The sequence below is a fragment of the Homo sapiens genome, chromosome 9, assembly GCF_000001405.40.
Source record: "Homo sapiens chromosome 9, GRCh38.p14 Primary Assembly".
Classification (NCBI taxonomy): Eukaryota; Metazoa; Chordata; class Mammalia; order Primates; family Hominidae; genus Homo; species Homo sapiens.
This window is the reverse complement of record NC_000009.12, coordinates 115,376,728-115,390,873: the sequence shown is the minus strand read 5'-3', so window position 1 is coordinate 115,390,873 and position 14,146 is coordinate 115,376,728. Positions and strand designations below refer to the sequence as shown.

The 14,146-nt window shown below is 43.1% G+C and overlaps 1 long non-coding RNA gene across 1 annotated transcript in view, besides 1 other annotated feature; it reads right to left on the bottom strand.

Moving 5' to 3' along the window:
- Positions 1-14,146, bottom strand: part of DELEC1 (deleted in esophageal cancer 1) — a 260,827-nt gene that overhangs the window by 11,771 nt on the left and 234,910 nt on the right. The gene's annotated exons all lie outside the window — the stretch shown is intronic.
- Positions 4,531-5,030: an enhancer, noted in NCBI's record as "H3K4me1 hESC enhancer chr9:118148123-118148622 (GRCh37/hg19 assembly coordinates)". NCBI's record gives its function as "activates a minimal SCP1, AML or CMV promoter by ChIP-STARR-seq in naive H9 embryonic stem cells {active_cell/tissue: H9 hESC(naive)}" and the evidence as "EXISTENCE:reporter gene assay evidence [ECO:0000049][PMID:30033119]".

Here is a 14,146-nt window from a genome sequence, read left to right as displayed (position 1 = left end):
CCAGCCTGGGCAATATGGTGAAACCCCATCTCTACAAAATATACAAAAATTAGCTGGGCATGGTGGTCCACAAGGAGATGCGTGAAATTAACAAAGAACATTTGATACTAGAAAGCTCAGTGAGTTGGGTTTGAAAACAGTAAACTGATGTACATGTCTGATAACACTGAGATCACTCTATAATCCAGACCCAGGTCTCCAGACTCCTGCCTAAGGAACTTTACATTCAAAGTATTTATCATGAGGAGAATCGCTTGAACACGGGAGGTGGAGGGCACAGTGAGCCGAGATCACGCCATTGCACTCCAGCCTGGGTGACAGAGCGAGACCCTGTCTCAAAAAAAAAAAAAAAGTATTTATTCATGATTTCACTGCTTTAGCCCCAAAATATTATACGTTTGCTACAAATCATACAAAATCATTTCACTAAACTACAAATAACATATACGTCACTTTGCTCTTAAAGGTCCTTCATCCATTGCTCATAGAATGAAATTTGCACTCCTTCCTGTGGCCTGCAAGGCCTTTCATGATTTGATTCTTCCTATCTTCCTATTCCTTTTCTTTTTCTCTCTCACTAGGCTTTAGCAACACTGGCCTGATTTCCTGTTTTCCTTAAAAAAAACACCAAATTCTTTCCTGCCTCTGGGTCTTTTTACTTGCTTTTCTCTCTACCTAGACTATTATTGTACCTAACTATTCATAAGGCTGGTTCTTTTTCATTTTTCATGTCTAAGATCAAATACTGTGTCCCCAAAGAGAGCATCTGTGACTATCCTTGCTGAAGTAGTTCCCTGCAGTCCACCCCTAATAAGTTACTCTCTGTTTAGTTCCTTCATAATATCCTTTATTTATCCAAATTCACTGTGTCTTTCTAATCATTTGTTCATTGACTGTCTCCTCAAAGCTAAAGTAAGATCCTGGAGGACATGGATCTTGCTAGTCCTGTTCACCACCAAATCTCCTAGTGCCCAGAACAGTACCTGTTGCTTGAAAATTATCTAAAATATGTGGCTCATGGATAAATTAGCAAATTCATATAACAGAGGCTTATGGATTATCTCCTAGGTGTAAAATATTATGATGAGTACTCAGCAGACAAACAGGTGAATTAATCACAGCATCTACTAGGAAGGATTTTATAGACTTGTAGAGGAGATAATTCTGGCAATTAGTAGTAAACAAATATAACTCCACTGCAATGTAGACATGACTGGAGTCATAAGAGAGAGGTAGAAAAAATGATGTGGTGGATTATATGGGAGGGGTTACCTCCCAATAGAGTTAGAGCCTGGGAGAATAGGTAGAATTTTCATGAAGATGGAAAGAAGAAGGTAAGATTTCCTGCTGGGCTGAAAGCTTTAGGAAGACAAGGGTAATGACTAGGTTGCTCATTGTTTTATCCCCAGAGTCAGGAAAGGTGCCTGGCACATAAGAAGGATTTGGTGAATGCATGTCAAGTAAATAAACAAATACATAAATGCGCTTATTGAAATAGAGACCTTTTTAAGATATATTAAAATATGCTTGTGTTTGTTTAATGGGAAAAACAGTCCCTTGTTCTTATCATATGCCATTTGTAATAAAAGTCTCATTTCTATTAAAGTGAAGAAGCACCCTCTTCCTCTATTTGCACCCACTCAAATTCCAGGATTCTTGCTTTGGCAATAAATTAGCATTGAGGAAGCAGTTAATCCTCATCTGTCCATATTCTATCATCAAAGAATTGGTAGTTAACAATCCTGGGAGAGAAGGGACCTTTCTATGGTCAAATCTGATTGTGGCTGTAAAGAGAAATGAAGATGCCCACACAAGAGGAGCAGCCATGAAGACTAAGAAAAGCCTTCACAATTTCTGTTCCATGTGTTTAATCTTTTAAGAGCTTTGTTGAGGCTTAATTTACATACCATAAGTTTCATTCATCTCATGTGCAAAAAGAAAAATCAATGATCTTTAGCAAATTTGTGGAGTTGTGCAACCATTATTATAATCCAATTTTTTTTTTTTTTTTTTTGAGATGGAGTCTCGCTCTGTTGCCCAGGCTGGAGTGCAGTGGTGCAATCTCGGCTCACTGCACGCTCTGCCTCCCAGGTTCATGCCATTCTCCTGCCTCAGCCTCCCGAGTAGATGGGATTACAGGTGCCTGCCACCACACCCAGCTAATTTTTTTTTTTTTTTTTTTTTTGTATTTTTAGTAGAGATAGGGTTTCACCATGTTAGCCAGGATGGTCTTGATCTCCTGACCTCATGATCCACCCACCTCGGCCTCCCAAAGTGCTGGGATTACAGGCGTGAGCCACCACACCCAGCCTTATTATAATCCATTTTAAAGCCAGGTGTAGTGACTCATGTCTATAATCACACAATTATTCTTTTGGGAGGCCAAGGTGGGCAGGTTGCTTGAGCCCAGGAGTTCGAGACCAGCCTGGGAAATATGGTGAAACCCCATCTCTACAAAAACTTAGCTGGGCATGGTGATGCATGCCTATAGTCCCAGCTCTGAGGAGGCTGAGGTGGGAGAATCACCTGAGCCCAGCAGATGGAGGCTGCAGTGAGTTGTGATCATGCCACTGCACTCTAGCCTGGGCAACAGAGTGAGATTCTGTCTCAGAATAATAATAATATTAACCCAATTTTAAAACTTTCCCATCACTCCAGGAATATCCTTCATGGCCCTTGCAGTCACTCCCCATTCCCACTCCCAGCTTCAGGCAAAAACTAATCTACTTTTTATCTCTGACCATTTACCTTCTCTGGACATTTCATATAAATGGAATTGTATAGGTACACATCGTTAAGTTTATATCAAAATGGTTTACCTCTTTGCTATTTGCAGGAAGAATCTAAGCAGGGTTAAATCATCTGCTCTGAAGTCATAATCCTCTTTTTGCATGTCTGACTTACCCTCCTTGTGCCTAATTTCTTCATCCATAAAATGGGATTCAGAATATTCTCACACATGACTAAGATATTTGGCATAATGCTGGTAAACAGTACATTCTCATTAAATCATAACTGTTATTATTGTTGTTATTATTATTATCCTATCAGAGTTCAGCAAGGCCAGGATAGGAAAATAAGAAAAGGAACTCCATGAAAATCTACACAGATGGCATATTAAAAGGAGAGAAGTATTTCCATTCAGATCCTAGCAGAAGGAAGCTTGTATTCATTCCAGGGCTTTCTGTTCCCATTTCTTCTTTGGGAATAGGATATGGATAGATGTGAGTAGCCTTTTCATTCACTACTGATTTACTGCCAAAGAAATGATTCTGGAATCTGACTAGATGTGAGTAGAAGGAGAGGGTGTTTTTCTGTCTCAATAGAAATGAAAGGAGATCTTTAATATGAGATCCAAGTGACAAGGACAGGGGACTGGTATTCCCATTAAGCAGATATAGCAGTGTTTTCATGTCTGACTGTGGCATAACCATTAACAAGAAGGTTTAAAAAACATATTTCTATATTAAAACTCTAGTGGAAATAAGTTATTTTTTTCCTGAGGAAAATGATTTCTTTCTCTTTTCAAGCTAAAGAGAAAATACGTAGTCCCTGATTTGGAGCCAGGAGATCAAGATTCTGGTGCTGGCTCTATCCCTGGAGCTGCTGACTTTGAATAAATAAATTCCCCTATCTGGGCCACAGTTTAATATAGCTGTTAAAAAAGAGAGATTTGATCCTTCTCCAAGGTAAGACTGGTTCTAAGGCTATGGGGTTCTTAAGGTGAAGGCAGGACTACTGGAGAACACAGAGCCACTGACTTTCCTACAATATTATGTTGCATTTCATGGATCACAGGTTTGTGTTGGGTGAAACTTACTTCCTTATAAATCACAGAACATTTACAGCTTCTTTACTTTAAAGGAGGGGTGAGCAAACTAAGTCCTGTCGACCTACCTTTATTTTATTTTATTTTATTTTATTTTATTTTATTTTATTTTATTTTATTTTATTTTATTTTATTTTATTTTATTTTGTAAATAAGATTTGATTGGAATACAGCCATGCCCATTTGTGTATTGTACTATATTGTCTATAGTAAAGCCTAAAATGTTTACTATTTGGTCTAGTACAGAAAACAGTTTGTTGACTTCTGGTTTAATCTTTTGATTGTTTCAGAAACCACTCAAAAAAAAAAGTAAAAATAGCTCCAATATATATTAATAGTTGAACATTTTAGAAAGCGATGAGTCGTGGCTAATGTGAGGTGACTAAGGTCACAGAGTTTGTAAAAAATAGTAAGGAAAAAGGACTAGTAAAGGAGGAGGAGGAGGAGGACAATGATGATTGCATTTATTGAGTGCTTAAAGAAGCAAGATGATAATCCAAATGTTTTCTGCTAAGATGTTTAATCCTCGCAACTGTCATCTTATTATCTCAACTTTGTAAATCAGGACAATAAAGCCTGGGAGTTCAAGAAACTTGACTAAGGTCATCAAAGCTAATAAGTCATGACTTGGGGAATGGAACAGTTACGGGATCTCTGGGGTGTCCATTTTTCTGGCTGGAAAGCTCTGTGGCTGTGGCACCTTTGCCCAAGTTTTTATCCTGCATCTAGGAAGAATGAGGTACACAGACAACTGAAAGGTGAAGAAAAAAAGTTTTATTTAGTGTTAGAACAGCTCAGAAGAGTGGGTAGCTCCTCTCTGTAGGCAGGTCGTCAGCTCTGAACAGAGAGGAGGCTCTGAAGAGGGTGGTTCCTCTCCACAGGCAAGTCATTGGAATATCTTTGCAGGTCTCTCATCCCATCTTCTCCAGCTATCAGCAGAGAGGGTGCTCCTCTCTGCAGCTGGTCATCTCCTCATCTCTCAAACCTCCGCTCTCTTCCTCCTCTGGCAGTCCCCTACCCTGCTCTGACCGAGCCCAGGCCTTTTATGGACCTCAGAGGGGAGGAAGTGCCTGCTGATTGGTCCATGGGCAGTCATGGGCGGGCCTGGAAGAGGCACCACTAGTCCCCACTCAGGCAGGAGAAACTGGCAGCCCAGCCCCCCACCTTCAGGCCCGCTCTGGCCTGAGGGTGGCGCCTTACTGGGGACCCCACCCCCTTCCACCCACGACTCTGTCTGCCTCCTACTGCCATTCATGGCCCCAGAGGTTGGCTCTAACCCGGCTCCAAGATTGTATCAAGTGCCAAGAGCAGAAAGAGGTTAGGCAGCGGGAGCAGACACCCCTGAGCCTGCAAGGATGGGGGTGGGGGAGGGCTCCTTCAAGAGGCGTGCGAGGGTGCAGGCTGCAGAGACACCTGGGTCCTGTGCCTAGGAGGGTGGCCGCAGCTGCGCCCAGGATCTCCCACCACCCCACCACACCTCCGCCCCCAACTCAAAAGGAGCAAGGCTCCCGCTTGTCCCTAGTTCCTGCCTGCTTCCCGGAGCCAAAAGCCCAGGTCTGCAGCCGCTTATGCCGCGGCTGCAGCTGTACCTGAGAGGGCAGATCTTGCCTATTCCCAGCTCCCCCAAGAGCACAGGGAGGCTTGGATCCACAGCTGCAGTTTAGGCAGCGGAGCTCTGCTCCACCCTCCTGGGCAGAGCTCCGTAGAGCAGGAGGCCTGGGTCTGCAGCTGTGGTTTGGGCAGCTGCAGTGGCACAGGGAGCTCCCATCCCAACTCAGAAGGGTCTCCCAATTGCTCCATGGAGTGTGCAGCCCCAGCTGCACTTCCCTGCTGCAGCTGGCATGATGGCGGCAGCCAATGCCATCCATCCCCCCTCTGAAGAGGTACACCTAACTGCTGTTAGGATGGAGACGATGACAGCTCTTAACTGCTTCATGCTGACAAGGAGCATTGTTCTGGGAAACCTACAGTCAAGTCTCTCTCTCGGTGGGTCCTATCTAAAGGTCCCCAGTACAAGGGAGCCATCATCCAGGGCTCCATCTTTGTGACCATTTGGAGTTTGATGGCCCATCCCTTTTGTTTCTTCTGAGCTGTGGTCAGAGATCACTGGTTGGTTCACCCTACAATTGTTTAAAGCCACAAATAGCTCAAAAAAACCCTTGATTCTGAAAAACAGGACATAAGGATCAGCACTGTTCCAAGAAAAAAGCAAAAAGTCAAAAAAGATTGGTCTTCCAATAGTTCAGTTTACCTACTCAACTCCTGTTCACAATCTTCAAAGTTATAAGAAACCTGCACTTGAGGGTTATAATCCATTCTTTGAAGAGGATCAAAACAAGACAACAATTGTCTATGAATGTTAAAATGTCCTAGGTTAGTTACAGTCAAAAACATAATTGACAAAGAAATTTGGTCACCTCTGTGATTTACGATAACCTAACACAATGACCCTAATTATGATTAATAACACAGACTCAGACATCAGTACTCCAGAAATCTCATACTATTTTGGAACACATATTAACATTTTTCACTAAAATATAACCTGAAGATCAAGCACCACCTTATTTCAATAATCCTATATAACTAAACATGTCAAATAATCCTGTTTACCTCTACTTTGGACACTCCAGGGTCCCTCTGTAGCTTCCAAAAGTTGGGAGTTAGGAAAGGCAATTTTGAAGCTGTAAAGACTCAAACACTTAATAGAATTTCAGATTGCCATAAGTCATCCGTTTAGCTACAATGATGACTCAAATTTATTTTAAAAAGCAAAAATGTTTACTCATTAAGACAGAAGACCTAGTTTTCCAAATAATCTGTCTTTTGTCCTTCCCTTCTTTTGTTGATAGTTTGCAAACAAAAACATTTCATTGTACAAAAGTCGTGTTCAAGAGAAAGCCAAATTTCACCCCAATTTTTAAAAAATAAAACCTTACAGACAAATCCTCAAGAAAACCTTGTTGTGCATTTATTCCAATGTTCAATTTATGGAAAAACCAAATACCCTTTTGAATTTAGTCAATATATTTACACACTTATTTTACAAAATTTTTACAAACCTTCCATAACTTGTTTGAACCTTTAGTTTTCTCTTATCTCATTTAAAACAATCTTTGAACCCTCTGAACTAGGCAAAAATTTACATTCCCATGCTTTCTCATATTCTTTTACTAAAGACACATTTTACTTTCCTTACATCTTGTATGTAAATCTATTTTCAGGAGTCTCCATTAGATGTTATAGTAGACAAACATAATCCAGACAAAAATGTATCCTAACAATTCTGAAGGACTTCTTTACTTAATGTGTGATACTCTCCTTTGGTGCTGTTTGGCCTCAGTGTTCTTCGAATTCTGGGGAGATTTGACCTTTAAATCAAATTGATATGGAAACTGTTTTACCTGAAATTTTGGTTTACAGCCTTCATTGGATTACCTATTGGGACAAACAAAGTAAAACCAGTGAGCTCATGTTGCTATCTCATGGCCAGGGTTCCAAGCTATTGGATCTTAGTTTGTGTGTGGGTATATATGTCTAGTTGTGTTTATTGATGTATATTGTGTCAACCAAAATGGCTTATAAGTAAAACGGTGCTCATAAATTAAGTAAAGAAGTGATTTATATCATTCCTGCAACTAGTTTGCACAGAAAGAGAGAAGCCACAGTCTGAATGGCAAGAACCTTTCCACTTTTGCCAGCATTTCAGGCTTCTGGGTTTCCTTTCCCTGAGCCATGAGCTCTGAAGTCCTGTCCAGTGATTTAGGATGCACTTGAGGAGGGCAGGTTGAAAATGATTGGTTGGTTACCCATCTGGAAAGAGGGGAAAAAGGCATCCCTTTGTTCCTTTCACCATCCCAGCAACCACCCAGGTTACATGATGAAGAGAAGAAAAGGCATCCCTCTTTCTTCTCCTGACCTTATATCCCTGAGTCCCAGTGACTTGTGCAGGTGCCAACTATGGGTGCAAGTGCAACCTTCACCCATGAAGTGGGAAGCATAGCTGACAGGAATATTCACACTCATCTGAGTGGAGCCTAAGCCTCCCACTCTCGGTAATCTGTGAGTTCCTTAGACCTTATCTATACCATGAGCATAACCTCCATCCGTGAAGTGGGAGGGCCTAATTGGCAGGAATTAGTCATGCTCACCTGTGCTGTGACCCTCAACTCCCACTGTCATCTGCCTTAGGTCTAGTGTTCCATTACAGGGCTTCAAACCAAAGTTTGGGATAAAAGGTGCCTCAGGAGGGTATATGAACCCTTTAAATTAGTCCCAAATGACCCTTGCCACATTGCATCTAGCAACTGGCAGGGCCCACTCCTCTGTTGCCTCCCTATCACAAGCAGGCAAAGCTGTGGGGCCAGGTCCTCCTCAAACAAGGGAGATAAAGGAAGTCCCAGGAATAGCAGTCCCAGGAATTGGGGTCCTGACGTAAAGAGGTGACAACTAAGAGTTTTGGCTTCTCCTGAGCTCCTCACAGTCATGCTAAGAGAGGGGGACCTAGGTTGGAGAGAATGAAAGGCGCACTTGAGTCCAGGAGATCCATCCTCTTTCCCTTGATACCCATAATCACCCAAGGCTCCTGGATGATAATGGCAGTCTGAATCACCAAAGCCAGGGAAAAGAACCCTGGGACCCATAAGCCTTGCTGTACCATTTGAAAGACCAGCCCTGGACCTGGTTACCTGTGTCTCAGGAACAGTCTGACCTCCAGTGGTTTACATTTGCAGAAGTCAACAAGTACATCTTAGGAACTCTGGGGTTTCTGAGCCTGTAAGGTGGCTATGAGACTCTCTGCTTTTTTTTCTGTCTCCTTTCCCTCTCTCTGGCCTCCTGATCTCTATTATAAAAGACCAAGGTGGCCACTTTCAGGAGGTCCTCTAAAGTACTACTGGTCCTATGTCCTGTTTCTGCAGCTTCCTCCTGATACCAGAGGCTGCCTGAGTAACAAACTCATCCCCTAGGACCAGCTATCCCTCTATTGAATGAGGGGAGAGAAGGGTGTGTTTTGCCAAGACCCCTCTTAGCCTTTCCAGGAAGGCAGTGGGACTCCTGTCAAATCCCTGGTCTACCACAGGTAGCCCAGTGAGATTGAGAGGTCTAGTCTCAGTCCCTTACAAAGCCCTCTAATATACACACATTTTAAAGTGTTTCCTCTTCAACTCTCCCATTTCATCATTGGGGTCCCATTTAGGGTACTCCAATGGTACTGCTATTCTTCCAACTGGATAAAGTTCCTCCCCTTCCCTCGTGCTATACAAGATATAAAGCTCATTCCTCAAAATTATTTGCCACTTGCTGAGAATGGCCTGCTTTTCAGCGTTGGCCAGGGTTTGATTCCAAAGTAACACTACATCCTTCCAGGAGAGTTCACATATTAATACTTGGGTTAAGTTCTGGAAGGCCTCTATATACCTATCAGGGTCATCTGATAATTTGCGAAGATCCCTGATATGGTTTGGCTGTGTCCCCATTCAAATCTCAACTTGAATTGTATCTCCCAGAATTCCCACATGTTGTGGGAAGGACACAGGGGGAGGTAATTGAATCATGGGGGCTGGTCTTTTCTATGCTGTTCTCATAATAGTGAATAAATCTCACAAAATCTAATGGGTTTATCAGGGGTTTCCACTTTTGCTTTTTTCTCATTTTTCTCTTGCCGTCACCATGTAAGAAGTGCCTTTTGCCTCCCTCCATGATCCTGAGGCCTCCCCAGACATGTGGAACTATAAGTCCAATTAAACCTCTTTTTCTTCCCAGTCTTAGGTGTGTCTTTATCAGCAGCATGAAAACTGGCTAATACAGTAAGTTGGTATCAGTAGAGAGGAGCACTGCTGAAAAGATACCCAAAAATGTGAAAGCAACTTTGGAACTGGGTAACAGCCAGAGATTGGAACAATTTGGAGGGCTCACAGAAGACAGAAAAATGTATGAAAGTTTGAACCTCCTAGAGATTTGCTGAATGGCTTTGACAGAAATTCTGATAGTGATATGAACAATAAGGTCTAGGCTGAGGTGGTCTCAGATGGAGATGAGGAACTTGTTGGAAACTGGGGCAAAGGTGACTCTTGTTATATGTTAGCAAAGAGACTGGCAGCATTTTGCCCCTGTCCTAGAGATCTGTGGAACTTTGAAATTGAGAGAGATGATTTAGGGTATCTGGCAGAAAAGAAATGTCTAAGCAGAAAAGCATTCAAGAAGTAAGTTGTGTACTGTTAAAAGCATTCTCTTAAAAGGGAAACAGAGCATAAGTGTTTGGAGTAATTGCAGCCTGATGATGCAGTAGAAAAGGAAAACCCATTTTTTGAGAAGAAATTCAAGCAAGCTTTAGAAATTTGCATAAGTAGCAAGGAGCCTAATGTTAATCCCCAAGACCATGGGGGAAAATGTCTCCTGGCCATGTCAGAGACCTTCATGGCAGCCCCTCCCATCACAGGCCCAGAGGTCCAGGAGGAAAGAGTGGTTTCTTGGGTTGGGACCAGGGTCTGCGTGCTGTGTGCAGCCTAGAGATTTGGTGCCCTGTGTCCCAGCCACTCTAGCCATGGCTGAAAGAGGCCAATGTACAGCTCAGGCTGTGGCTTCAGAGGGTGTAAACCTCAAGTCTTGGTAGCTTCCATGTGGTGTTGAGCCTGCCAGTGCACAGAAGTCAAGAAGTAAGGTTTGGGAACCTCTGCTTAGATTTCAAAAGATGTATGGAAATGCCTGGATGCCCAGGCAGAAGTTTGTTGCAGTGGCAGGACTCTCATGGAGAACTTCTGCTAGGGCAGTGCAGAAGGGAAATGTGGGATCAGAACCCCCACACAGAGAATCAAGCGATTCTCCTGCCTCCGCCTCCAGAGTAGCTGAGATTACAGGTGCCCACCACCATGTGCAGCTAATTTTTGTATTTTTAGTAGAGACGGAGTTTCACCATGTTGGCCAGGCTGATCTCAAAGTCCTGACCTCAGCTGATCCACCTGGCTTGGCCTCCCAAAGTGCTGGGGTTACAAGTGCGAGCCACTGCACCCAGCTGAGGCCAGGGCTTTTATGGACCTCAGAGAGGGGAAGTACATGTGAATGGGTCCATGGGCGGCCATGGGTGGGCCAGAAGAGGCACTATGAGTTGCCACTCTGGTTGGAGAAACTGGCAGCCCAGCCCCCAGCCTTTGGGCCCTCCCTGGCCTGAGAATGGGACCTTACTGGGGACTCCACCCACTTCCGCCTAGGACTCTGTCTGCCTCCTGCTGCCATTCATGGCCCCTGGGCTTGGCTCCAACCCTGCTCTGACATTGGAGGTGTCAGGAGCAGAGAGAGGCTGGGCAGTGGGAGCAGACACCCCTGAGCCTGTAGGGATGGAGGGGGAATCCTTCCTGGTGCACCTGAGGGTGCAGGCTGCAGAGACACTCCGATCCTGTGCTTGGGAGGGTGGCCAGATCCACATTTGCAGTTTGGGTGGCTGTAGCCCCACCCAGGAGAGTGGGGCTCCTGCCTGCTCCCTAGAGCAGGGAGGCCTGAGTCTGCAGCTGCAGTTTGGGCAGCTACAGTGGCACGGGAATCTCCCATCCCAATTCAGAAGGGGCAGGGCTCCCACTTGCTCCTGCTGCAGCAGGCATGATGGCAGCAGACACTGCCATCAGAACTATGCAGCTGGGTAAAATTCCTCTGTTATAAAGGATGAGACAACAATCCAGAAAATGAAAGAGGTTTTCACAAAATTCCTTACGACAAGGGAATAGGGAAACCAGCTTCCTTACTCCATGACCAGTATTCCTGCCATTGAAGCGTGTACCCATCTATCTGCTAACTCATGGTAGATTTATGTGCCTATATGTAACCTATTTTACTGACCGCTTCTAGGTTGTTAGATTTAAGAAACAAAAAGCACATCTTCTAATTCTTTTCCTAGAACCCTAGCATATAGAAGGCACATAGCAAATGCCTAATAATGATAGCAAACATTTACTGATAGAATATGATGTGACAATTAATTATTTTAGCACTTTATGTGGACTATATTCTGTACTTAAAATAGTCCTATATGTTAGGCACTTTCATTATCTGTATTATATGCAAATGTTTAAAATGAGGAAATGAAGGCTCAGAAGCTCAGTAATGTTCTCATGGTCTCAAGTGAACTTGGGCAACTGACCATGCTCTAAGTCCTGGTCTTGCAGTGTGGTCCACAGACCAGCAGCCATGACAGCTGGTTAGAAATGCAGATTCTCAGGCCTGATGAAGCATGATCTGCATTTTAACAAGATAGGTGATTTGTGGGTGCATTGAAGTTTGAGAATCTCTTCTCTAAGTCAGCACACTCTTCTCTATTGATCACATTGAAAAAAAGGAGTAGATGATCGATTGCTTTCTGGGCAATGCAAGAAGCAAACTGGTCAGATGAAAACTGTGTTCTAAAGAAAAGGATTGAAGTGTCCATTCCTATAAATTATACCTGTTTCAAAAATGAATGCCCTTTTTTTCTCCCAGATTTCATACTGATTTCTCTGCCTCTACAGGCTCCTCAAACTATCTCACTAAAAATGTCTAAGATCTATATCTATACCCTGAGCACCATGATAAATACAGAAGCAACTGCTTCCGGACTGAATAACAGAGCTTTAACTGGGCCTGGGCTTTGCTTATGACGCATCCAAAGTGTGTTTTTAGGCAAGAGGCAGAGAGGAAATTGCCATCTGCTTGGTAACTTGTGAGTTACTATTTCCCGAAAATCTAAGCTTTTTCCAATTCCATTAACATGAATAAAAAATACAAACTTAAGGCAATAGTTACTGTTGCCCCTGGAAAATGCCCCTGACTTTCTTGACATCATCAGAGACAGCAGAGGCTACCAGGACTCATTCAAGGTACTATAATTATTTTGTGCTTGGTTACTATTTTTTCATATTTTTAATATAAATTATCATCAAATAATCAAAATTAGGGTTTTGGCCTAAATCATCCCTCTTCCTTGGTCCATGGAAATGTCCCCCACTGATTCAGGGAGAAAAGAATCTGAGTAAGCATCTTACCTCTACTTCCATTAGAACATGGCAAAGACAAATAATCTCCTTCTTTTGGCAGGGCGTGGTGGCTCACGCCTGTAATCCCAGCACTTTGGGAGGCCGAGGTGGGTGGATCACGAGGTCAGGAGATCGAGACCATCCTGGCTAACATAGTGAAACCCCGTCTCGACTAAAAATACAAAAAAATTAGTTGGGCGTGGTGGCAGGCGCCTGTAGTCCCAGCTACTAGGGAGGCTGAGGCAGGAGAATGGCCTGACCCCGGGAGGCGGAGCTTGCAGTGAGCCGAGATCGTGCCACTGCACTCCAGCCTGGGCGACAGCGCGAGACTCTGTCTCAAAAAAAACAAAAAAACAAAAACAAATAATCTCCTTCTTTTGTAACTATATCCTTTTGGGTCTTTGGCAGATTGCAACTCCTCCTACATCAGTTTTCTCAATGGTCAGATAAAGATGGTAGCAACTACCATTATTGGATCTTGATGAAGATAATTCTCTTTTATTATGCTAACCTATTCATAGAGCCACTAGCCTAATGGTTTCTCAATAATCATGAGGATAGTAAAACTCTGTGAGCTAATCAACCTTCATATTCATTTCTCAAATAGTCTGATTCAGTAGGTCAAAGATAAGGTACAGAAGTCAGCATTTTAAAGTTTTCCAAATGATTTTAAAGCAGATGTTCTATACACCATAATTTGATATCTCTCTCCCTATCTTACATAGTAAAAATTTTAACTCCCTAAGGCAAATATGAGTCCCCAACACAAGTTAAGCCCAAATTTGAGATGATACTTTATCACTTGTGGGCAAATTCCATGATATGTTCTTACGGCTCTGAACCTCAAAAATATACTTAAAGTGGAAAAAAAAAAAACCCTCAGAGAGGCAGGACCAATCAAGACTTGAAAAGCTTTGCCTGGGATTGGGGTGGGCATGAGTTAAATGTATCCATTTCAGTCTCAGGTCTTAACCTAGCTCACAGCTGAGGGACCACTACTCTGCTGCAACACTGTGCAGGGAACCCCAGGGCTTAACACATCCTACCTCTGTCAGAGGCTCTGCTCAGTGTATCCAACCATTATTAAAATAGCAGCAGATTCTACTCAGGTTTTTTAAAACTTGACTTGTCATTGTCAACAACTGGATTCAGATTCCTTTTTACTTTCAGTGGTAGCTGTTCTACTCCTATGATCCCTCAGAGCTGACAATGGTGCTAACTTCTCCAAGACTGCCTGCATAATCACACCCTGCTTGTTTTGCACTGGGCTCATGTAACATTCATTTATTTACTCCGTAAAAGCAGATCTCAGGTCAGG